At 49.7% G+C, this 22,942-nt stretch overlaps 1 protein-coding gene, 1 long non-coding RNA gene and 1 other non-coding gene across 6 annotated transcripts in view, besides 5 other annotated features; 2 read left to right on the top strand and 1 right to left on the bottom strand.

Annotated features, from left to right (window-relative positions):
* Positions 1-18,957, top strand: part of LSS (lanosterol synthase) — a 40,329-nt gene extending 21,372 nt beyond the window's left edge. For 3 of the 4 annotated variants that reach the window (NM_001145436.2, NM_002340.6, NM_001145437.2), the window contains 7 exons: positions 635-731; positions 1,462-1,567; positions 11,136-11,201; positions 11,647-11,727; positions 12,742-12,912; positions 15,444-15,522; positions 16,168-18,957. In NM_001145436.2, coding sequence (NP_001138908.1) covers positions 635-731; positions 1,462-1,567; positions 11,136-11,201; positions 11,647-11,727; positions 12,742-12,912; positions 15,444-15,522; positions 16,168-16,299 — 732 coding nt within the window. In that variant the 3' untranslated portion in view covers positions 16,300-18,957. The remainder of the gene's footprint in view (positions 1-634; positions 732-1,461; positions 1,568-11,135; positions 11,202-11,646; positions 11,728-12,741; positions 12,913-15,443; positions 15,523-16,167) is intronic. The other variant, NM_001001438.3, reaches the window with a different exon arrangement.
* Positions 5,550-6,076: an enhancer, noted in NCBI's record as "H3K27ac-H3K4me1 hESC enhancer chr21:47621241-47621767 (GRCh37/hg19 assembly coordinates)". NCBI's record gives its function as "activates a minimal SCP1, AML or CMV promoter by ChIP-STARR-seq in naive H9 embryonic stem cells {active_cell/tissue: H9 hESC(naive)}" and the evidence as "EXISTENCE:reporter gene assay evidence [ECO:0000049][PMID:30033119]".
* Positions 12,151-12,650: an enhancer, noted in NCBI's record as "H3K4me1 hESC enhancer chr21:47614667-47615166 (GRCh37/hg19 assembly coordinates)". NCBI's record gives its function as "activates a minimal SCP1, AML or CMV promoter by ChIP-STARR-seq in naive H9 embryonic stem cells {active_cell/tissue: H9 hESC(naive)}" and the evidence as "EXISTENCE:reporter gene assay evidence [ECO:0000049][PMID:30033119]".
* Positions 12,651-13,152: an enhancer, noted in NCBI's record as "H3K4me1 hESC enhancer chr21:47614165-47614666 (GRCh37/hg19 assembly coordinates)". NCBI's record gives its function as "activates a minimal SCP1, AML or CMV promoter by ChIP-STARR-seq in naive H9 embryonic stem cells {active_cell/tissue: H9 hESC(naive)}" and the evidence as "EXISTENCE:reporter gene assay evidence [ECO:0000049][PMID:30033119]".
* On the top strand, positions 13,244-13,313 carry SNORD159 (small nucleolar RNA, C/D box 159). Its single transcript, NR_145780.1, has one exon. It is a non-coding gene; the product is annotated as a small nucleolar RNA, C/D box 159 (small nucleolar RNA).
* Positions 14,626-15,238: an enhancer, noted in NCBI's record as "H3K4me1 hESC enhancer chr21:47612079-47612691 (GRCh37/hg19 assembly coordinates)". NCBI's record gives its function as "activates a minimal SCP1, AML or CMV promoter by ChIP-STARR-seq in primed H9 embryonic stem cells {active_cell/tissue: H9 hESC(primed)}" and the evidence as "EXISTENCE:reporter gene assay evidence [ECO:0000049][PMID:30033119]".
* Positions 15,239-15,853: an enhancer, noted in NCBI's record as "H3K4me1 hESC enhancer chr21:47611464-47612078 (GRCh37/hg19 assembly coordinates)". NCBI's record gives its function as "activates a minimal SCP1, AML or CMV promoter by ChIP-STARR-seq in primed H9 embryonic stem cells {active_cell/tissue: H9 hESC(primed)}" and the evidence as "EXISTENCE:reporter gene assay evidence [ECO:0000049][PMID:30033119]".
* On the bottom strand, positions 18,230-22,856 carry LOC124905045 (uncharacterized). Its single transcript, XR_007067914.1, has 2 exons — positions 22,216-22,856; positions 18,230-19,067 (listed from the first exon to the last, which is right to left on the bottom strand). It is a non-coding gene; the product is annotated as an uncharacterized LOC124905045 (long non-coding RNA).
* Between the last annotated feature and the right edge of the window lie 86 nt (positions 22,857-22,942).

Here is a 22,942-nt window from a genome sequence, read left to right as displayed (position 1 = left end):
GTCCATACCTCGTGTCCTGCAGATGAGCTGCGTGCTCACTTCCACTCCTGTGGGCTCCAGCCCAGCACACAGTCCGGCCAGGCCGTAGGAGCTTGTCCTTGGATGGTGTCTATATGTGGAGAACTGTGAGCTCTGGCTGGACCCCTAGGGGCCTTGCTGGGCTGTGTGCACAGGGCCCTGCACTGCGGAGCTGGTGTCCAGCCCAGCCACCGATACTTGGGGGAGCCGGCGTGGCCCCCAAGGTTTCTCTCTGGTGGTTTCCACTGGGTGTCTGAAGAGGGAATTTGTTGGTGTTGGTTTTGGTGCCACATCCTTTCAGCACATCTGGCTTTTGTGTGTGTTTCCCAGTGGAGACCCTGCCCTTTTCTGGCAGCACAGACTTGGTTTCTAAGTCATGGGCACGTGTGGGGGCATGTTCCCTGGTGGCTGTGCATGGAGGCCCTGACAGATGAGGTTGCAGCTGCTGCTTGGGGCACCCGAGGGCTTGGTTAACGTGGAAATCAGCTCTCCGCCCCCTGTTCCTGCCCCATCGGTTGTCAGCCCTAGTGTTGCCTCTAGAGAGTTCCGCTGTGCCCTGGGCGCCTGTGTGTGCTCAGCACATGGGCGAGTTCTAGGGTGCTCTCTGTGATTTCAGCTGCTGAACATGAGAAATCCAGATGGAGGGTTCGCCACCTATGAGACCAAGCGTGGGGGGCACTTGCTGGAGCTGCTGAACCCCTCGGAGGTCTTCGGTGAGTGGTCGGCCAGCACTGCGGCGCGCAAACCCGGGGCTGGCTAGCACTGTGGTACACAAACCTGGGGGCCAGCTTTTCCCCCTTGCCCGAGGCTGCAAGGGCCCAGGTTCACCGGCAGATCTGTCTGGAGCCCTCCCTCAGCCCAGGCTGTTCTGCGCTCCTCCATCCCCCGGGGTGGCAGGATCCTTGTGTTGTGGATAGGAGGGCATCAGGTCAGACCTAGGGGACAGTGGAGGGTTCCAGTGAGATCCACAGCCTGGGCTGGTTCCTGCTCAGTCCACAGGGCTTGTGTTCTGTGGAGGCTGCTGTGTATCCAGAGCGCCTGCAGGGAGGTGTCTTTGGGGACTGTGGGGACTGTGGGGACCCATGCCATGGGCAGTAGGCTGCTGTGTGTGCATGGTTGCCACCGTACTGGTCTTGGGGGAGGATCTCAGCCCTGGTCCACCTCTGGGCACCTCACATACCCGCCTTCCTGGTCCCCTCCACATCACACATGGCTTTTTGGGGTGGGGTCGCAGCTTTCTGCTGTGTTCCCCTCATCTTCGCTCTCAGGTAGCACAGGTGTGTGTCCTGGACCAGCCGGCGTTTGCTCTGGAGGTTGGTCAGGGAGGCAGCGTCCGGGCCCGGGCTCACTGCAACACTCTTGCTTGTTGTGGCTTTGCCTGAGCTGCAGAGCCTGGGCAGCCAGGGTGAAACCCAACACTTGGTTCTTCCCTCCCTTTCCCAGGGGACATCATGATTGACTACACCTATGTGGAGTGCACCTCAGCCGTGATGCAGGCGCTTAAGTATTTCCACAAGCGTTTCCCGGAGCACAGGGCAGCGGAGATCCGGTAAGGAGGGTCTCAGCCATTCAGTGTGGGCGCTGCCAAGTCGGGGGCCAAGACCCAGACGCATCATTCTGTGACACGGCCCTGGTGGCCCATCTCAGAAGCGAAACTCATGGAAACATGCAAGAGGCTTCGGATGTTGTGGAATCCAGTCATATGCCCTAAAGCATACAAAATATCTGTTAGGGGCTCAGAATAGCACAGTTATGATACAAAAATGGATTTTCTCTCTCTTTTAATAATGTTAAGAAGACATCACATACCTGACTCCACCGGTGTCCCAGAAACGGTTTTTAAGTAACCTTTCCTGTTGAAGGGTAGCAAGTATTCAGAAAAGTGTACAGGTTGGTCTTCTTGAAGCAAACAGGAAGCGAACAGTGCCAGCATTAGACATGGTGACACCACCAGAGCCCTCGGCCCGCCCCATGACGGGGCCGCCCACATGCCTGCCAGGTCGTGGGTGTCTGTTGCTCGCTTTGGATCTTGTCTAGGTGGACTCCTGAGGTGTGGAATTCGTGTTGCCTTCTCCTGCTCTCCTGCTCTCCTGCTCGCGGTTAGTCAGGTGGCTCGGGTAACAGCAGCGTTCTCTCCCTCGGGCCTTCGGTTGAACACAGATGCCGCGCTATCCAGCTGCCTGTTCTCAGCACCTGGGAGGATTTCAGTCTGGGTTATTATGAAGCATCTACTGTGAACACTCTTGTACTTATCTTTTGGGGGCACCTGGGTACCCATTTCTCATGGTCACGTACCTAGGAGTGGCATTGCTGTGTTAGAGGGTACGTTATAGGGTATGTGATTTTTGTAGGTTCTTCTTTATCCTATCACGATTACATTTTTTTACTTTTGTTCAACCTGGTGTAGACTCACCTTGGTCACAATGCACTGTCCTTTTTATATATTGCTAGATTCAATTTGAAGAATATTTTGTTAGGATTTTAGCAACTCTGGTTACAAGAGACGCTGGTCTATAATTTTTTTTTCTTTATAATGTTTTTGTCAGGTTTTCCTGTTAAGATGATGCTGGACTTAGAAAAGCAGTTGGAAAATGCTTTTAAAATACTCTTTGGAAGAATTTATGTAATATTCATAATATTTCTGCCTTAAATGTTTGGGAAAAATTACCGGAAATGCCAGTTGGGCCTGGAGATTTCTTTGAGGAAAGTTTTTAAATTAGAAGTTCAATTTCTTTCTTTCTTTCTTTCTTTCTTTTTTTTTTGAGATGGGTTCTAGCTCTCTCACTCAGGCTGGAGTGCGGTGTAATTTCTTTAATAGTTTATAGGACTGAGCAGATTTTCCATTTTTGTATCAGTCTGGGGAGTCTTCCCATTTCCACTCAGCTTTACACTGATTCATGCAAAGTTGTTCAGTGTCCTCTTAGATGGCTCTGAGCCCAACGCTGACATCCTCCTCTTCCTTCTGAGAATCTTATACTGATCTTTTGAAAAAAAAAAAATCTTAGTCTTTGATTCTGTTTTTAAAGAGACTTTATTTTTGGTTTCATCAATTTCTATTGTTTGTTATTTTCTTTCTTTCTTAATTTTTTTGAGATGGAGTCTTGCTCTGTTGCTGAGGTTGGGGAGCAGTGGCGTGATCTCAGTTCACTGCAACCTCCGTTTCCGGGGTTCAAGCGATTCTCCTGCCTCAGCCTCCCGAGTAGCTGGGACTACAGGTGCTGACCACCATGACTGGCCAATTTTTTGGTATTTTTATTAGAGACAGGGTTTTACCATGTTGTCCAAGCTGGTCTTGAACTCCTGACCTCAGGTGATCCACCTTCCTTGGCCTCCCAGAGTGCTGGGATTACAGGTGTGAGCCACCACACTGGCCTTTGCTATTTTCTTTCTCCTTTATTTTTCTAACTTGAATACTTAGATATTTGATTTTCAGGCTTTTATTGAAATATGAATTTGAGGCTATAAATGAGTTTTGAGATATCATTCAGTTAAATGTGTGTTCTGGTGCTTGCTGTGGTAGCACAGATACTAAAAGTGTTTTCTGTTTCTACTGTTCTTCTCTGGCCCATGAGTTATGTGGGAGTATGCTGCTTCATTTACAATCTGAGAATGTTCTGGTGTGGTTTTTTTGGAAGCCGTGGATGGAGCAGGGGTTTTCTTGTGCTTCACAGGTGCAGCTAGGAGGGCACTGTGTCCAGGGTCTTCTGTCGGCCTGGCGTGGCCCTCGGCCATGTGCTGCTCTGCGGCATGAGGTGGGCGTGAGTTGTCCTCAGCCACATTTAGAGAATTGGCCTTTTAAAAAATAGATCATCTTTTAAAAATCACTGTAATAAAAGTAAAGCAGGTTCTTTGCAAACAAGACTTGCAAAATACAGAGAAGCGCAAAGAAGAAGCTAAGTCGCCCCTCCTCGCCCCTGAAGGAGAATCTGCTGTTGCTGTTTGGTCTCCACATTTCCATGGCGGCTTGCTGCCCCTTTCACGCCTGGCCCACTTTGTGCCTGGTGAGGTTTCTAAAAGCCCCACCATTGAGCGCGCTCCTCCAGCACGAGCAGTAATGGCACAGGTGTTGTGTCATTTTACTCAGTAGCCTCTGGGTTATTTTTCAGTTTTCCTTGTTGTTTTTTAGCTTTTCCCCATTTTAACCTTAACTGGTATTTTCTTGTTAAATATTTATTCATGACCATTATTATTCCCTAGAGCCACATGGCTTGGGGTCCACCTGCCTGGGTCAGCCCCCATCCCTGCCCCTTCTGGCTGTCTGACCTGGCCTGGTGACTTCTCTTCTCTGCTCATCTCTCTCCCTGCCTGAGTGGGCAACAGTACAGCCTCACAGAGTGGTGGGATTGTGTGAGATGCCACAGGGAAGCACATGTCAGTTGTTGTCACTGTGTAGAACAATGAGTCCCGGATGTGGCCCGCAGGGGAGCAATGGTGACTTAATCGCGGGCTTCCTCTGCATTTCTTTGGTGACTTCCAAGCTAGAACATTCTTTTTTTGTTTATTTGTTTGAAGCAGGGTCTCACTCTGTTACCTAGGCTGGAGTGCAGTAGCAAAATCATGGCTCACCACAGTCTCAAACTTCCGGGCTCAAGCAATCCTCCCACCTCAGCCTCCTGAGTAGCTGGGACTACAGGTGCATACCATCACCTGTGGCTAATTTTTTAAATGTTTTGTATTTTTTAAATGTTGCTCAGGCTGGTCTTGAACTGCTGGGCTCAAGCAATCCTCCCACCTCGGCCTCCCCAAATGCTGGGATTACAGAGTGAGCCACCACACCCAGCCATTTTTAAAATTTTCACCAGGAAGTTTTTTCTTTCATTTTTAAGCACAGTAAGTATTTGTGTATTATGTTACAGATATTTTCCCCTCAATTTCTTTGTTCTTTTTATCTCTTTAGGGAGTATGAACATAAGTTTTTAACTTTTAAATGGTTAAATATATTAGTGTGATTTTTATATTAAGATTTTATTTTATTTATTTTTTTTTTTTTTGAGACGGAGTCTCGCTCTGTCGCCCAGGCTGGAGTGCAGTGGCGGGATCTCGGCTCACTGCAAGCTCCGCCTCCCGGGTTCACGCCATTCTCCTGCCTCAGCCTCCCAAGTAGCTGGGACTACAGGCGCCCGCCACTACGCCCGGCTAATTTTTTGTATTTTTAGTAGAGACGGGGTTTCACCGTTTTAGCCAGGATGGTCTCGATCTCCTGACCTCGTGATCCGCCCGCCTCGGCCTCCCAAAGTGCTGGGATTACAGGCGTGAGCCACCGCGCCCGGCCTATATTAAGATTTTAAACTTGCCGGGCGCAGTGGCTGACGCCTGTAATCCCAGCACTTTGGGAGGCCGAGGCGGGTGGATCACAAGGTCAGGAGATCGAGACCATCCTGGCTAACACGGTGAAACCTTGTCTACTAAAAATACAAAAATTAGCCGGGCGTGGTGGCGGGCGCTTGTAGTCCCAGCTACTCGGGAGGCTGAGGCAGGAGAATGGCGTGAACCCGGGAGGTGGAGCTTGCAGTGAGCCGAGATGGTGCCACTGCACTCCAGCCTAGGCGAGAGTGCAAGACACCGTCTCAAAAAAAAAAAAAAGATTTTAAACTTACCTGGAGAGTTTTTGAGATACAGTTTGGAGTTGCAAGTTACTTTAACACTATTTATATGGAATATTCTATTTTACTAGACAGACTTAAATTCTCCCTTAAATTCACAAATTTATAGAAAAGTTACAAAAATACTGAAAAGTGCTCCTGTTTACTCTGACTAGAATTCTTTAGTGGGTGGCACCCTACCCTGAGGGCTTCATGACCTGTCCTCCCACATGATCCAGGCTCTACCCTCAGGGCTTCATGACCTGTCCTCCCACATGATCCAGGCTCTACCCTCAGGGCTTCATGACCTGTCCTCCCACGTGATCCAGGCTCTACCCTCAGGGCTTCATGACCTGTCCTCCCACGTGATCCAGGCTCTACCCTCAGGGCTTCATGACCTGTCCTCCCACGTGATCCAGGCTCTACCCTCAGGGCTTCATGACCTGTCCTCCCACGTGATCCAGGCTCTACCCTCAGGGCTTCATGACCTGTCCTCCCACATGATCCAGGCTCTACCCTCAGGGCTTCATGACCTGTCCTCCCACGTGATCCAGGCTCTACCCTCAGGGCTTCATGACCTGTCCTCCCACGTGATCCAGGCTCTACCCTCAGGGCTTCATGACCTGTCCTCCCACGTGATCCAGGCTCTACCCTCAGGGCTTCATGACCCTTCCTCCCACATGATCCAGGCTCTACCCTGAGGACTTCATGACCTGTCCTCCCACGTGATCCAGGCTCTACCCTCAGGGCTTCATGACCTGTCCTCCCACATGATCCAGGCTCTACCCTCAGGGCTTCATTACCTGTCTTCCCACATGATCCAGGCCCATTCTTTCTTGAACCATTGGAAAGGAATTTGCAGATAGGATGTGTACCCCTAACTGCCTGAGTATTTCTTAGCAGGTGTATTCTTTTGTGCAAGTGTAAGTCAGAATGTTAATGTTGATGAAATACTAATCTGCAGGCCTAATTGTTCCAATAATGTCCTTTATGGCAAAATCTTCCCTCAAGCTTTAATCCAATATCATGGGTTGCATTTGTTTATTTTTAATTATTTTTCTTTTCTTTTTCTGTTTTCCTTACCCTTCTCACTGTGCACATGGGTTGCATTTAGTTATCACATTGACACCCTTTTAACCTGGAATAATTCCTTAATCTTTCCTTGTGTTTGATGACTTTGTCATTTTTGAATTGTTCCACAAGTTATTTTGTAGAATATCCTCAGTGTTTTTTTTTTTCTGGTGTCTCGTGATTAGATTCAGGTTATGAAACTACATTTTTGTCAGGAAGATTGCAGAAGAAATGGGGCCTTCTCCTGCACCTTACCAGGAAGCACACACCAACTTTGATCCCTTGATTAAGGTGATGACCGCTGTACTTAGTTTCTCCGCTATGAAGTTGCTTTTTTTTTCTTTGTGGGGAGACAGTTTTAGACTATGTAAACGTCCTATTTCTCATCATACTTATACCTGTTAGTGTTAGCATTTGATGATGATTCTTGCCTGAATCAATTATTTGCATAATGCTTACAAAATTATCATTCCTTCCATATGTATTAGTTGGTGTTCTTCCAAAAGCTTTTCCTTTGCCTCTGTTTATTTACTTATTTATCACTGTGGACGCATAGATTCTTACGCAATTGATTTTGATACTGATCTCATAGCTAGACAATTTTGCTAAACTTTTAAAAAAATTTATGTACTTTATCTTTTATAGCAGCTTTAAATTTACAGAAAATTTGAGTGGAAGATGCAGTGTTCCCATAAAGCCGCTAACTCCTCGCACCTTCCCTCAAGTTTCCCCAGTACTAACATCTTGCATTCAAGTGGTGCGTTTGCAACATTCATAAATTATTATCGTCCAGAGTCCATTGTTTACATTCAGCTTCCTCTTCATGTTGTTCATTCTGTGGTTTCACAGATGTGTGATGCACGTGCCCACCACTGCAGTGTCACACAGGATCTCACTGCCCCGGAGTCCTCTGCGCTGTCCCCGCCTCCAGAACCCCTTAGTAGCAAACACTGATATTTTTACTGTCTCCATAGTTTTGCCTTTTCAGACTGACCTATTTCACTTAGTAAGAAGCATTTAAGATTCCTGAGTCTCTTTCTATGGCTCAATAGCACATTTCTTTTTAGTGCTGAATAATATTCCATTGTCTGGATGTACCACAGTTTATTCATTCACCTACTAAGGTGAATGTCTTGCTTGCTTCCAAGTTTTGGCAACTATGAATAAAGTTGCTATCAATGTTAGCGTGCACATAAGTTTTCAGCTCATTTGGGTAAATGCCAAGAAGCATGATTGCGGGATCCTATGGTAAGAGTGTGTTTAGTTCTGTAAGAAGCTGCCAAACTGTATCTTAAGTGGCTGCACCATTTGCGTTTCCACCAGCAATGATGAGCGTTTTGTTGCTCCACATCCTCACCAGCATTTGCTGTTGTGTTTTGGGTTTTAGCCTTTCTAAGAGGTGTGTAGTGGTATCTCCTTGTTTCAATTTGCAATTCCCTAATGACATTATGTTAAAATCTTGTCATATAGTTATTTGCCATCTGTGTATCTTTTTCAGTGATGTGTCCTTTAAAGTCTTTGGCTCATTTTTAAATTAAATTTTCTTATTGTTGAGTTTTAGTTCTTCATATATTTTGGCTGCCAGTCCTTTATCAGATATGTCTTTCGCAAATATTTTCTGCCTGTGTCTTGTCTTTTCATTCTATTAACAGTATCTTTTGCAGAGCCAGTTTTCATTTCAAGGAAGTCCAGCTTATCAATGTTCTCTTTCATGTATCATGTTTTTGGTGTTGTATCTAAAAAGTTACTGCCAAGCCCAAGGGTACCTAGATTTTTTCCTGTGTTATATTCTAGGATTTTTAAAGTTTTGCATTTTACATCTAGGTCCATGATTCATTTTGAGTTAACTTTTGTGAAGGGTTTATGGTTTGTGTCTAGATTTTTTTTTTTTTTTTTTTTTTTGCATGTGGATGTCCAGTTGTTTTGGTACCATCTGTCAAGAAGACTCTTTTTGGGTCATTTTGTTGCCTTTGTTTCTTTGTAAAAAATCAGTTGACTGCATTTGCATGGGTCTATTTCTGAGCTCTCTGTTCCATTGCATTGATCTGTTTGTTCTTCTCAGCAATCCCACACTGTCTTGGTTCCTGTAGCTCTGTAGTAGGCCTTGCAGTCAGTTACCGCCCCTGTTCTCACTTCAGTGTTCTCTTCAATAGTGTTTTGACTATTCTAGGTTTTTTCCCTCTCCATATACATTTTAGAGTCAGTTTGTCAATAGTTTACAAAATAACTTGCTGAGACTTTGATTGGGATTACATTGAATCTGTAGCTCAAGTTGGAAAGATCTTTTATTTCTTTCATCAGAATTTTGTAGTTTTCATCATATATAGATCTTGTACATATTTTGTTGTTTATACCTAAGGATTTCATTTTTTTGGTGCTAATGTAAATGGCGTTGTGTTTTAAATGTCAAAATCTAATTGTTCATTGCTGGTAGGAAAACAACTGACCCTTTTTTTTTTTTTTTAAGGGACGCAGTCTTACTCTGTTGCCCAGGCAGAGTGCAGTGGTGCCATCATAGCTCACTGCAGCCTCAAACTCCTGGGCTTAAGGAATCCTCCTGTCTCAGCCTCCTGAGCAGCTAGGACCACAGGCATGTGCCACTACGTTCAGCTAATTTTTCAATTTTTTTGTAGAGATGGGATCTTGCTCTGTTGCCCAGGCTGGTCTCAAACTCCCGTCTGCTTTGAGATGATTATATATTTGTGTCCTTTGTTAATTTAGAGGATTATTATGGATTTTTCTAATGTTAAGACACCTTTGTATTTCTGAGATCGACCTTAGTATTGGTCTATATTTAAGACAGTATTCAGTTTCTCAGTTGTTTTTTGTTTTTTGTTTTTTTTTTTTGAGACAGAGTCTCTGTCTCCCAGGCTGGAGTCCAGTGGCACAATCTCAGCTCACCGCAAGCTCTGCCTCCCGGATTCACGCCATTCTCCTGCCTCAGCCTCCCGAGTAGCTGGGACTACAGGCGCCTGTCATCATGCCCAGCTAATTTTTTGTATTTTTAGTAGAGACGGGGTTTCACCATGTTAGCCAGGGTGGTCTCAATCTCCTGACCTCGTGATCTGCCCACCTCGATCTCCCAAAGTGCTGGGATTACAAGGCGTGAGCCACTGCGCCCGGCAGCAGTTTCTCAGTTTTAATTTGGAGTTTTGCATCTGTGTTCATGAGTGAGCCTGAAATTTTCACTTTTCCATATCTTATTTCTCTGGGTTCCTAGAATGAGCTAGAGAGTGTTCCTCCTTTCTGTTCTCTGGAAGAGTTTGTGTGAGATTAGAATGAGTGTGTCTGATAATTTAGTTGCATTCATTTATAAAATTCCTAGGCCTAGAGTTTTTTTTCTGGGAAAAGTTTACATTTTGACTCATTTTTTTAGTAGTTTTAGGACTGTTTAGGTTCTCTATTTCTTGATTGAGCCAGTTTTGATAAGTTAATCTTTCTAATTTGTAGATATTTTCTCTAAGTTTGCAAATGTAATACATAAAACTTTCTTGTCATTTCTCACCATATCTGTAGTTCTATCTTTTTATTGCTAATATTACTAATTTGTACTTTGACTATTTGTATTTGTTACCTGTTGCCGAGTAACAATATTAGTACAAACCTAGTGGCTTAGAACAACACACATTGATTACTTCACCGTTTCTGTGTGTCAGAAGTCCAGGCGCGGCCTCGCAGGTCGTCCTCTGCCTCAGGGTCTCTCCGGGCTTCAGTCAGGGTGTTAGCCAGGACCGGGGTCTCGCCTGAGCTTCCAGTGAGGAAGGATCTGCCTCTGAGCACACAGGGTCCTCGGCACGATCCCATTCCTCAGCTGGAAGCTGCCGACTACCGTCTGCTGCGGGGCCTCTCTAGATGGCATCTTCACAAAAGCGAGAAGGGAGAGTTGGTAGAGGGAGTCTGCTAGCACCATGGGAGTCGCGGTCACACAGACCTCGGTCCCAGGACCCGCACCCATCAACCCTGCCGTGATCTGCTGGTTAAAGACAAGTCCCACGTCCCACAGGGTGACACTGGAGTAGACACTTCGCTCTGGCCTTTTCAGAGAACTGGTTATTTTTTGGAAATATCAGTTAGATGTAGGATGGGTCTTGTCTTCTAAATCTATTGTTTTCTCTCTAATTGATTTTTTCCTGTTTTTATTTAGTTCACTTTGTTGGGTTTGCTCAAGCCTGGGTCACTGGATCTCAGGGATGCTGCTCCTGTTTGCAGCTGTGTCTGCAGGGGCTTCCCAAGGCCTTGCTTTCCCCTCACGTCCCTTTCTCAGACTCTGCCAATCCGCTTCCCGCTCTGGTGTCCTGTGGTTGCTTCTTTTTAAAACCCTCATCGGTCTGTGTAAACTGTTTATTTTTATGTGGTTTTTAAGGGAGACCATTCTCATTCTTTTGAGACCCTGGAAAGGATGGAATTGGGATAGGTAAACTGCTGTTTTACCAGAATGTTCACTGGACCAATCTCGTGTTCCAGGGAGACCCTCACGCAGGGCTTAGAGTTCTGTCGGCGGCAGCAGAGGGCCGATGGCTCCTGGGAAGGGTGAGTGAGCCTCCACTCGTGAGTGCAGAGATGCACGGGATCCACAGGTTTCTGCTCTCACACACTGCGTTCATAAATGTTGGCTTGTATGTTGTTGCTACACCAGAAGTTTCTGGAAGTGAGCTGCCAGCCCGTGACTTCTGGGGGACCTCGTTCCTTTGTGGCATGCGTGGCCTTTGCCCCGGTGGAAATTGCTCAGTACGTTGCTGGGCGCAGCCGGGCTGCTGGGAGCGCGCTGTAGCCTGAGCGTGGCTATTCCCTCCACCCTTTCTGCTTGCTCTTAGGGTCCAGCAGACAGAGCTGCTGTCTTCCACGGCCTTAATGCCTGAGGCACTGGAGTTGGTGGGCTGGCTGGGGCACGTGTGATTGTTGCAGAATGCGTGTTGTTTCACACACCGGCTGTGAACAGGGTGGAAGGGCTGAGGCTCTCCCTGTTTCCCTCCAGCTCCTGGGGAGTTTGCTTCACCTACGGCACCTGGTTTGGCCTGGAGGCCTTCGCCTGTATGGGGCAGACCTACCGAGATGGGTGAGTGAGTGCCTGTCCTCTGGTGGGTGGGGGTTCTCAACCCAATGCTCTGTCATGAGTGTTTTTTGCTTTGACATTTGGTTTTAGGGTTTGTTTGTTTGTTTGTTTGTTTTTGAGACGGAGTCTCGCTCTGTCAACCGGGCTGACATGCAGTGGCATGATCCTAGCTCACTGCAGTCTCAAACTCGTGGGCTCAAGCGATCCTCCCGAGTAGCTGGGATCACAGGTGCACGCCACCACCCCGGGCTAATCTTTTAAAACTTTTATGTAGAGATGGAGTCTTGCTGTGTTGCTCACACTGGTTTGGGCTCAAGCAGTCTTCCTACCTCGGCCTTCCAAAGTGCTGGGGTTACAGGCATGAGCCAATGTGCCTGGCCTGTTTTTAATATTTTTAAACAGTGAGATAAGATCCCCGGTTGAAATGAAGATGTTTCCCTGGTCCCACAGCTCTCTGGAGCTTCCTGACATGTATGCTGGAGGGACGCTTCTGGTCTCCGGCCCCTCCAGGCATACAGATGCCTCCCAACCCTGAGTAGGAAGATTAGGGTCCACGGCCTCGCTGGAGCGGGTTAGAAGGCAGGAGATCTCCGGTCCCAGCCGTGTCTCCAGCCGCCGGACTCTCTCCCAGCCCTGTCTCCAGCTGCCCCACTGTCTCCCAGAGTCTGCCGTGTGGATGTTTAGAGGTGGGGAGCACCGTGCTTGGCTGAGTGCAGCTTGTGAGACGCTGCTCCCAAGCACTGCAGACCTCACTCAGCCTGACGCGTCCGTGAGGCCATCCTCGGTACTCGCATGTCCCTTTGTCTTCCCAGCGACTCTGGGAGGCAGGAGTATCTGTTCCCAGTTCACATCTGCAAAAGTCAAGCTCGGGTTTCAGTAGTGGCCCATGGCCCTTAGGTAGGGTGGCCCCATCGTGCAGGCTCCTCCCCGTACCCCAAGGCAGCCTGCTGGGGTGAGAAGCCAGGGGTCTGGGACCTTCCTTGGTGTGATGGTGTCTCCTGTCTCTGGTCTTTGCAGGACTGCCTGTGCAGAGGTCTCCCGGGCCTGTGACTTCCTGCTGTCCCGGCAGATGGCAGACGGAGGCTGGGGGGAGGACTTTGAGTCCTGCGAGGAGCGGCGTTATTTGCAGAGTGCCCAGTCCCAGATCCATAACACATGCTGGGCCATGATGGGGCTGATGGCCGTTCGGTGGGGACGACGGGACCGTCCCTGAGCCTTGGGTTTGGGTAGAGGAGGGACACTCAGCTGTGAGCCGGTGGCCTGGGCTGAGTGAATGTAGAGAGGAGGGGAGGCCTGTGGGCCAGGTCAGCTGCCACTCTGGGAACAGACACCTACAAGAGCCACATGCCTGGTTCCTGGGGCAAGAACGTGGGCTGCTCTGACCAAGTGGGGCCCTGCAGAGAGGCTCGCCTCTTAGAAGTGAACCACCCACCATTAGCCATGTCAGTGGAAGAGCAAGCACATCAGGGACCCATGGAAACAGCGAGGTGGGCTGCGATGAGGATGCTGCTTCCTGGTGTGGTAGTGATGACGGTCACAGCAGCTGCTCTCTGTGGCCCTACTGTGTTCACAGCTGGTGCTGAGCCACATATGTGCCAGGTGCACACACACGCAGACGCATGCAGGCAGGCATCAGTGTACACACTGATGTGCACACACAGATGTACATGGAGACAGATGCACACACAGGCCTATGCACACACGTACGCATGCCCACACAGGCACCTGTGTCCACACACATACAGATGCACCCACAGCATCCCATCTGTGCCACACACTGACATAGGTACATGGAGACAGATGCACACACAGGTCTGTGCACACACGTATGCATGCACAGGCACCTGTGTACACACACGTACAGATGCACCCACAGGATCCCATCTGTGCCACACACAGACGTAGGTACATGGAGACAGATGCACACACAGGTCTGTGCACACACATACATACGCATGCACAGGCACCTGTGTACACACATGCAGATACACCCACAGCATCCCATCTGTGCCACACACAGACATAGGTACATGGAGACAGATGCACACACAGGTCTATGCACACACATACGCATGCACAGGCACCTGTGTACACACACGTACAGATGCACCCACAGGATCCCATCTGTGCCACACACAGACGTAGGTACATGGAGACAGATGCACACACAGGTCTGTGCACACACATACATACGCATGCACAGGCACCTGTGTACACACACGCAGATACACCCACAGCATACCATCTGTGACACACACAGACGTAGGTACATGGAGACAGATGCACACACATGTCTGTGCACACACATACATACGCATGCACAGGCACGTGTGTACACACATGCAGATACACCCACAGCATGCCATCTGTGACACACACAGACGTAGGTACATGGAGACACATGCACACACAGGTCTGTGCACACACATACGCATGCACAGGCACCTATGTACACACATGCAGATACACCCACAGCATCCCATCTGTGCCACACACAGACATAGGTACATGAAGACAGATGCACACACAGGTCTATGCACACACGTATGCATGCACAGGCACCTGTGTACACACATGCAGATGCACCCACAGTATCCCATCTGTGCCACACACAGACATACGTACATGGAGACAGATGCACATACAGGTCTATGCACACATGTACACATGCACAGGCACCTGTGTACACACATGCAGATGCACCCGCAGTATCCCATCTGTGCCATACACAGACATACGTACATGGAGACAGATGCACATACAGGTCTATGCACACATGTACACATGCACAGGCACCTGTGCACACATATGCAGATGCACCCGCAGTATCCCATCTGTGCCACACACAGACATACGTACATGGAGACAGATGTACACACAGGTCTATGCACACATGTACACATGCACAGGCACCTGTGTACACACATGCAGATGCACCCGCAGTATCCCATCTGTGCCACACACAGACATACGTACATGGAGACAGATGCACACACAGGTCTATGCACACATGTACACATGCACAGGCACCTGTGCACACATATGCAGATGCACCCGCAGTATCGCATCTGTGCCACACAGACATACGTACATGGAGACAGATGTACATACAGGTCTATGCACACATGTACACATGCACAGGCACCTGTGCACACATACATACAGATGCACCCGCAACATCCCGTCTGTGCTGCCCTATTAGGTTTGTGGCCATTTGGGGAATCTTCCTAAAACCCTAAAAGCTAGGGCAGGTCTGCTTGAGCAGGAGCAGCAGGGTCTGGGGGACCCCTGAGGGCAGGACAGTCAGGGACCCACAGTTGAGCTGGGCCCGCTGAGCCCTGGATCCTTCTTGGTGTCTTATCCTGGCCAGCAAGCAAGTGTGAGCTCCTGTGGGTCTCCAGAGGCCCATGAGGACCAGTGGGCCAGTTGGGAACAAGGCTTGGCGTCCTCTTCAGGGGGGAACACCAGGGCAGGCCTGAGGAGGCCTGTGTCCCCAGCCTGTCATTGCTGTGGCTCCGCTTCTCAGGGAGCCTAGGAAGAAGGTGTGGCAAGAGCCCGAGGCGCTGGCTGCACCTGGCGGGGCCTGTGGGCGTCAGTTTAGACCCATCCATTCTCACTGCAGCATTCCAGGGTTTGCCCTTATGCTCGGCTGTGTGAGGGTGAGGATGATGCTGTGGGGGCATGCATGCTGGGTGTGTTTCAGCCTTCTCTTCCACCAGGCATCCTGACATCGAGGCCCAGGAGAGAGGAGTCCGGTGTCTACTTGAGAAACAGCTCCCCAATGGCGACTGGCCGCAGGTATGCCGCCAGGGACCTGAGCGCACAAGGCCCAGCACTGACCTCCAGCGTGCATGGCTGTTTCCACGTCCCCCTGCTCTGTGTCCTTTTTGGGGTACTTTGGACACTTGGGAGGCGTCACCTCTGCCAGTGAATGCCACAGTTGGTGGCAGGTCTGTGGCAGGTGGTCGGGTCCTAAAGTCCAGATCTTGCTGTTGTTTCAAGTGATGCTCTGGGTGGGGGAGGAGCTGGATGGGAGAAGCCAGTGGGCGGGAAGCCTTTTTGCTGCAGGACAGACCCTCCCACTCCAGATGACCTAGTGGCCCCTCACTGAGCCAGAAGTCCCTGTGGTGTGGGTGTCATGAGGTCATGTGAGGCCAACCGCCCTCCCCTGGGATGAGGCTGAGTTGGTGGAAGCTGATGTGGTTGTGAGGGGCTGGTGACCCTGGCTTAGGGTTTGCTGCAGGGCGGGGAGTCTGAGCTGGGCTGATGGTGCCATGACTGATGCGGGATGGACTACTTGCTTTCCTATGCTCTTGCTTAATTAGCCCTTTCCAGGCTGACTCACCCACAAGCCAGCCAAGCCAACAGCCAGGGCTCCAGTTCAGGGACTAGCCCTCAGCTGACTGGTGAAGCCTTTGTGTTTATTTCTCTGTGTTCTTTTAGGAAAACATTGCTGGGGTCTTCAACAAGTCCTGTGCCATCTCCTACACGAGCTACAGGAACATCTTCCCCATCTGGGCCCTCGGCCGCTTCTCCCAGCTGTACCCTGAGAGAGCCCTTGCTGGCCACCCCTGAGAACATGCCTACCTGCTGGGTGCCGTCTGTGCGTTCCAGTGAGGCCAAGGGGTCCTGGCCGGGTTGGGGAGCCCTCCCATAACCCTGTCTTGGGCTCCAACCCCTCAACCTCTATCTCATAGATGTGAATCTGGGGGCCAGGCTGGAGGCAGGGATGGGGACAGGGTGGGTGGCTTAGACTCTTGATTTTTACTGTAGGTTCATTTCTGAAAGTAGCTTGTCGGGCTTGGGTGAGGAAGGGGGCACAGGAGCCGTGACCCCTGAGGAGGCACAGCGCCTTCTGCCACCTCTGGGCACGGCCTCAAGGTAGTGAGGCTAGGAGGTTTTTTCTGACCAATAGCTGAGTTCTTGGGAGAGGAGCAGCTGTGCCTGTGTGATTCCTTAGTGTCGAGTGGGCTCTGGGCTGGGGTCGGCCCTGGGCAGGCTTCTCCTGCACCTTTTGTCTGCTGGGCTGAGGGACACGAGGGCAACCCTGTGACAATGGCAGGTAGTGTGCATCCGTGAATAGCCCAGTGCGGGGGTTGCTCATGGAGCATCCTGAGGCCGTGCAGCAGGGAGCCCCATGCCCCTGGGTCGTGAGCTTGCCTGCGTATGGGGTGGTGTCATGGAGCCTCATGCCCCTGGGTCGTGAGCTCGCCTGAGTATGGGGTGGTGTCATGGAGCCGCATACCCCTGGGTTGTGAGCTCGCCTGCATATGCAGGGTCTGTCATGGAACATCCCAAGTCTGTGCAGCAGGGAGCCCCATGCCCCTGGGACATGAACCCACCTGCGTGGAATGCTGTTTGTGAGGTGTCTACAGGGTTTATAGTAGTCTTGTGGACACAGAAATGCACAGGGGACACTTACGGACACAGAAATGCACAGGGGAGGCCGAGCATAACCAGGGGTGAGGGGCAGGCAGCAGTTGTAGTTACTGCCGCGGGGCACTGCTATGTGCAGGGACAGCCAGCACCCAGCCCATCACCACTCCCTGGGCTGGCTGGCAGGTATGGCACCCTGGGAGCCCGGCATATACCCAGGGCACCCCTACGGCTGCCGCCAGTCTCATGCCCAGGTGGGTGCTCTGGGCTGGAGCGAGGGCCAGGTTTTGGGCCGAGGCTTCCCCAGGCAATCCTGTGAGCTCCCTTCTAGCCTCTGACCCAGTCTGGTCTGGCTTGCATGGATGTAGGGCTTGGGGTGGGAAGTTCAGGTCCTGGCTTTGCCTTTGCCTGATGTGGATGAGCAGCTCACATGCTCAGGGCCACCTGAGACTGTCACTGCTCTCCCCTGGCTACTGGGAGGAGTCACTGAGAGCTTCGTTACCCCTGCTGCCTTGCCCAGGGCACACCCTATACCTCCTTATCTGCTCTTCCCCTCCCTGCCGCCTTCTGGGCAGGTAGCAGTCCCTGGCCTCTCCCCCTGGCTGATCACTCTCCCTCAGGCAGTGGAGATCTGCGTCTGGACACCCTCAGATCCTGTCATTGCCTGCCCAGAGTCCTTCAGGGGCACCCCTCTGCCTTGGTGTGCAGTCCAGGGCTCTCACCCAGGTGCCGCACCCTCTGGGGTCTTCTGTCCAGCTCCCTTGCCCCATGTGCTGTCACTGACTCTCCTTGGGACTCGCCTGCCTGCTCAGAGCCCTGCAGGGCTTGGTCAGCTGCCTGTTCAGTGTCAACACTTCCCTGCACATCTTAAAACTGGGCTTTATTTTCGCTGAAGGAACTGTGTTGGGACCCTTGACATCTGTCAGGTTTGCACATGCTGTTTTTTTTTCTCAGCCCACGTGTTCTCCCCCACGTGGGGTAGCAGCAGGACAGACAGTGAATCACAGAGTCTGCCCTGAGCAGAGGCTGCTGTCCCTGGGACTCCTAGCCATGGTCAGACTGTACAAAACGGTTTTCCAGAAATGAAATGTAAATCCATTTTTATACTGAAAATGTTACTGAAAGTCACTTTTATGAGCATCTGCCTTAATAAACAGACATTGATTCCCTTATCAGAAGCCTGTCACACTGTGTTTCGTTTCATCCTGGGGAGAACTGCAGATTTGGGGTTTCTGGCTGTCATACGTCACCTGCCTGTGGGGCGAGTGGGAGGCCCAGCCTGGTTTAGGGAACAAGAGTGACGTGAGGAGTAGCAGGGTGCGTCTCCAGTTACCTGAGGGAAAACAGATATTTTAAGAGATAATAGCATAGCCTATTTTAATATGTTTTAAAGGCCATAAGCATATCCAGGAAGATAAATAAACGTGATACAATGTCCACATAGGAGGAACTTTCTTTCACTGCATTGTTTTCCTTCACAGTGGCCTTCAAGTCACAGGACGCAGCGATTCCCTGCCCTCTTCGGTGTTATTACACAGGCAGGACTTCAGTGTCAGTATCCCTGCCTTCAGTCTTCTTTAGAAATCACATCTGTGTTCAATCCATTGTTTAGAGGGAGTGTATTTTTCCTGTTCCACGAAGAGGACTTTTTGTTCACAATTGGATCACAATGCAGAGGAGTCTGTTCCTCCCCCGTCGGCTTCTCGGTGCTGGGAGGGTGACCTGTCCCAGATGACTCATCACCCTGACATGCTCTTGACAAAGGACACCACCAAGAGGAGATGGCAGCTGTACCGGTGCAGCCTCTGTCTGAGGGGGATATTTGCCTCAGTGTGATTAAAAATCAGTCATGAAAGATTTTTGAATTCAGATTATTTTTATCAGGAACAGATTTTGAACATCCTGAAATCTTTTCCCTGGCATCATATTAGGTTTTCTTTGTTCACTATGATGTAAAGTTTCAGACTCTTGATATTTTTAATATCAACATAGACGGTAGGACAAGGAACGGTACCAGAAATGAGTAAAGAGACAATAATGATAAGATCGATTTATCAAGACATAACAACCCCAAATGTATATGCACTAAATAACAGCTTCAAAATACATGAAGCAAAATGGCAGAATTGAAGAGAATGAGATAAAAACAGAATTTTAACGGGTGCTTTCCGTACTTTGTAACTGACAGACATGAGATCTGTAAGGACAGAGATTTGAACATCAGCCAACACAAGCGAGCGGTCTTTAGAGGATGCTTCACCTAACACTGCTGAAGCACACGGCTTTGCAAGAGCTCGTGGCCCATGTGCTAAGGTAGACCACAGCTGGCTCACCAGGTGAGTCTCAGTATGTTAGCAAGGACGGAAGTCACACACAGCATCCTCCCCCACCACAGTGGAGTTAAACTGAATTGAAAATCAGTGGCAAAGGAGCAAAGGCAGTTCAATGGAGAAAGGACAGCCTTCAACAAATGCTGAAACAAACTCCATTTGTAAAAAAAAAATGAACCTTGACATACCCTTCACATCTAGACATACTCAAGATCAATCAGAGACCTAAATGTAAAACAAAACTATAAAACCCCTAGAACATCACATAGGAGGAAATCTAGGTGACCTTGGGTTTGGCAGTAACTCTTTAGATATGACACCAAAGGCATGATCCTCGAAAGAAAACATTAATAGGTTGGGCTTCATTAAAATAATACATTTCTGGCTCATGCCTGTAGTCCCAGCACTTTGAGGGGCCAAGGTGGGAGGGTCACTTGGGCTCAGGAGTTGGAGACCAGCCTGGATAACAGTGAAACCCCATCTGTACAAAACAGTCAGAAGATTAGGCAGGTGTGGTGGTGCGTGCCCGTTGTCCCAGCTACTCGGAACACTGAGGTGGGAGGATTGCTTGAGCCTGGGAGGCCGAGGCTACAGTGAACTGTGGTTGCGCGGCTGTGCTCTTAACTTGCGTGACAAAGTGAGACCCTGTCTCAATAAAATAATTAATGAAACTGAAACTTTCTGCTCTGCAAAGAATGTCAAGAAAATGAAAAGACAAGTCAGAGACTGGGAGAATATATTTGAAAAAGACAAAGGATCAGTATCCAAAAGAGCTCTTCAAACCCAACAATAAAACAACCTGGTTAAAAAATGGGCTGAAGGGGCCGGGTGCGGTGGCTCACGCCTGTAATCCCAGCACTTTGGGAGGCCGAGGTGGGCGGATCACAAGGTCAGGAGATAAAGACCATCCTGGCTAACACGGTGAAACCCCGTCTCTACTAAAAATAAAAAAAATTAGCCGGGCACGGTGGCAGGCGCCTGTAGTCCCAGCTACTCGGGAGGCTGAGGCAGGAGAATGGCGTGAACCCGGGAGGCAGAGCTTGCAGTGAGCCGAGATTGTGCCACTGCACTCCAGCCTGGGTGACAGAGAGAGACTTCGTCTCAAAAAAGACAAAAAAGAAATCAAACAAACAAAAGTGGCTGTGCCAATTTGCATTCCCACCAACAATGAGTTCCTGTTACTCCACGTCCTCAGCAGCATTTGGTGGTGGCAGTGTTCTGGATTTTGGCCACTCTAAAAGGTATATTGGTAGTTTTAATCTGCATTCCCCTGATGACATATGATGTGGAACATCTTTTCATATGCTTATTTAACAACTGTGTATCTTCTTTGGTGCGGTGTCTGTTAAGGTCTTCAGCCTTTTCTTTTTTTTTTGATACGGAGTCTCGCTCTTTCGCCCAGGCCGGAGTGCAGTGGCGCGATCTTGGCTCACTGCAAGCTCTGCCTCCCGGGTTCACGCCATTCTCCTGCCTCAGCCTCCTGAGTAGCTGGGACTATAGGCGTAGCGAAACTGCTCTGGCCTGACACTGTGATGGTGGATACAGGTCATTATACATTTGTCCAAAGCCAGAGAATGTGCAGCATCAAGAGTGAGCCCCATTGTAAACTGTGGGCTTTGGGTGGTGACGATGTGTCCATGTAGATTCATCAGCTGTAACAAATGGACCACTCTGGGACTGAGTGTGGGTGTGCGCGCCTGTAATCCCAGCTGCTTGGGAGGCTGAGGCAGGAGGATCTCTTGAGCCCAGGCATTTGAGGCTGCAGTGAGCCGTGATCATGCCACTTGCCCTTCAGCCTGGGCAATAGAGCAAGACCTTGTCTCAAAAAAGTACCACTTTGCTGCAGGACGTTTCAAAAATATTCTCCCAGTCTCTGACTTGTCTTTTCATTTTCTTGACATTCTTTGCAGAGCAGAAAGTTTCAGTTTCATTAATTAAAGTATTTTATTGAGACAGGGTCTCACTTTGTCACGCAAGTTAGAGCACAGCCGCGCAACCACAGTTCACTGTAGCCTCGACCTCCCAGGCTCAAGCAATCCTCCCACCTCAGTGTTCCGAGTAGCTGGGACAACAGACACGCACCACCACATCTGCCTAATCTTCTGACTGTTTTCTACAGATGGGGTGTCCTTCTCTTTTGATAACTTTGGTAGGGTTTGTCCATTTCCTGTGGTTGTGGAGCACGGGCATCAAGCTTTAACTACACCCCACAAATTCTAATGTCATGTTTTTATTCTCATTCAACTTGAAATATTCTCTGGTTTCCTTCGTGCTTTTGTCTTTTTCAAGACTTTTTTAAGAGGAGTTTTAGGTTCTTAGCAAAATTGAGAGGAAGATAGAGAGATTTCCCCACTCGCTGCCCCAACAAATGCACAGCCTCCCCTATTATCAACAAACTACCTGACAGCCACAATTGTCAGCAAAACGCACATGAGGGAAAAATATAAAATATAAGTAGCGTTGTATCTATTTAAGAAATTGATTTAGAAATTTAAAACTTTTCCAGAAGAAATCTAGTTCTAGATAGCTTCACAGATGAATTCTATCCGACGTTTAAGAAGGAACACCCAGAAAATGGCGCAGAATCTCTGCGGCTCATTTTAAAAGGCCAGTGTTCCAAAGCCAGACCGAGACATCACAAGAAAAGGAGATTCAGATCGACTTCCCCTGTGAGCATAAAAATACTTAAAATATTAATAAATTGAATCCAGCGCTATATTAAAAGGATAATGTGTCAAGACCAGAAAACTGTCAGAATGTTGATAGGTCCGTGGCTGGAGAGTACCTGACGTCAAGAGAAGGTTTCCTTGGAGCGGGAGGAAGACGGCATTTAAAATATGATGGGAGGAGCCAGGGCAGGAAAAGCCATTCAGGGCCCCGTCGGGCTCAGAGCGGGGGGCGCATCCGTGACTCATCCCTCGCTTCTCTCTCTGCCCTGCATCCTGGACGCCCTGCATGCCCTCGTCAGTGGGCTGTGGCTGGGCCCCCGTTGTCTTGATCTGAGGTGTGAGCCCTGTGGTGCAACACCAGGCTGGTTGGGTTGTGTCAGGAACGCTTGGGGTGTAGAAACCTCCTTTCTCCACAAAGCCTGACTCAAGACTTTCTCTCCTAGAAGCAACCTTCCCCTAATCTGGCCGCCCGGGCTGAATGAAGGTGGTGTTCTCCCAGGGGCATCTGCACCTGAGTGCCCTTGGTGGTCCTGAGTGCCCGTCACAGGGCTGGAGGTGTGGCCGGCCCACTGGGATGGTGGTGGTGGTGGGTGCCCATCACAGGGCTGGAGGTGTGGCCGGCCCACTGGGTTGGTGGTGGTGGGTGCCCGTCACAGGGCTGGAGGTGTGGCCGGCCCACTGGGTTGGTGGTGGTGGGTGCCCGTCACAGGGCTGGAGGTGTGGCCGGCCCACTGGGTTGGTGGTGGTGGGTGCCCGTCACAGGGCTGGAGGTGTGGCCGGCCCACTGGGTTGGTGGTGGTGGGTGCCCGTCACAGGGCTGGAGGTGTGGCCGGCCCACTGGGT

Source organism: Homo sapiens, chromosome 21 (assembly GCF_000001405.40).
Source record: "Homo sapiens chromosome 21, GRCh38.p14 Primary Assembly".
In the NCBI taxonomy this organism is placed as follows: Eukaryota; Metazoa; Chordata; class Mammalia; order Primates; family Hominidae; genus Homo; species Homo sapiens.
Note: the sequence above shows the minus strand (reverse complement) of the source record. Positions and strands in the feature narration are given on the sequence as shown.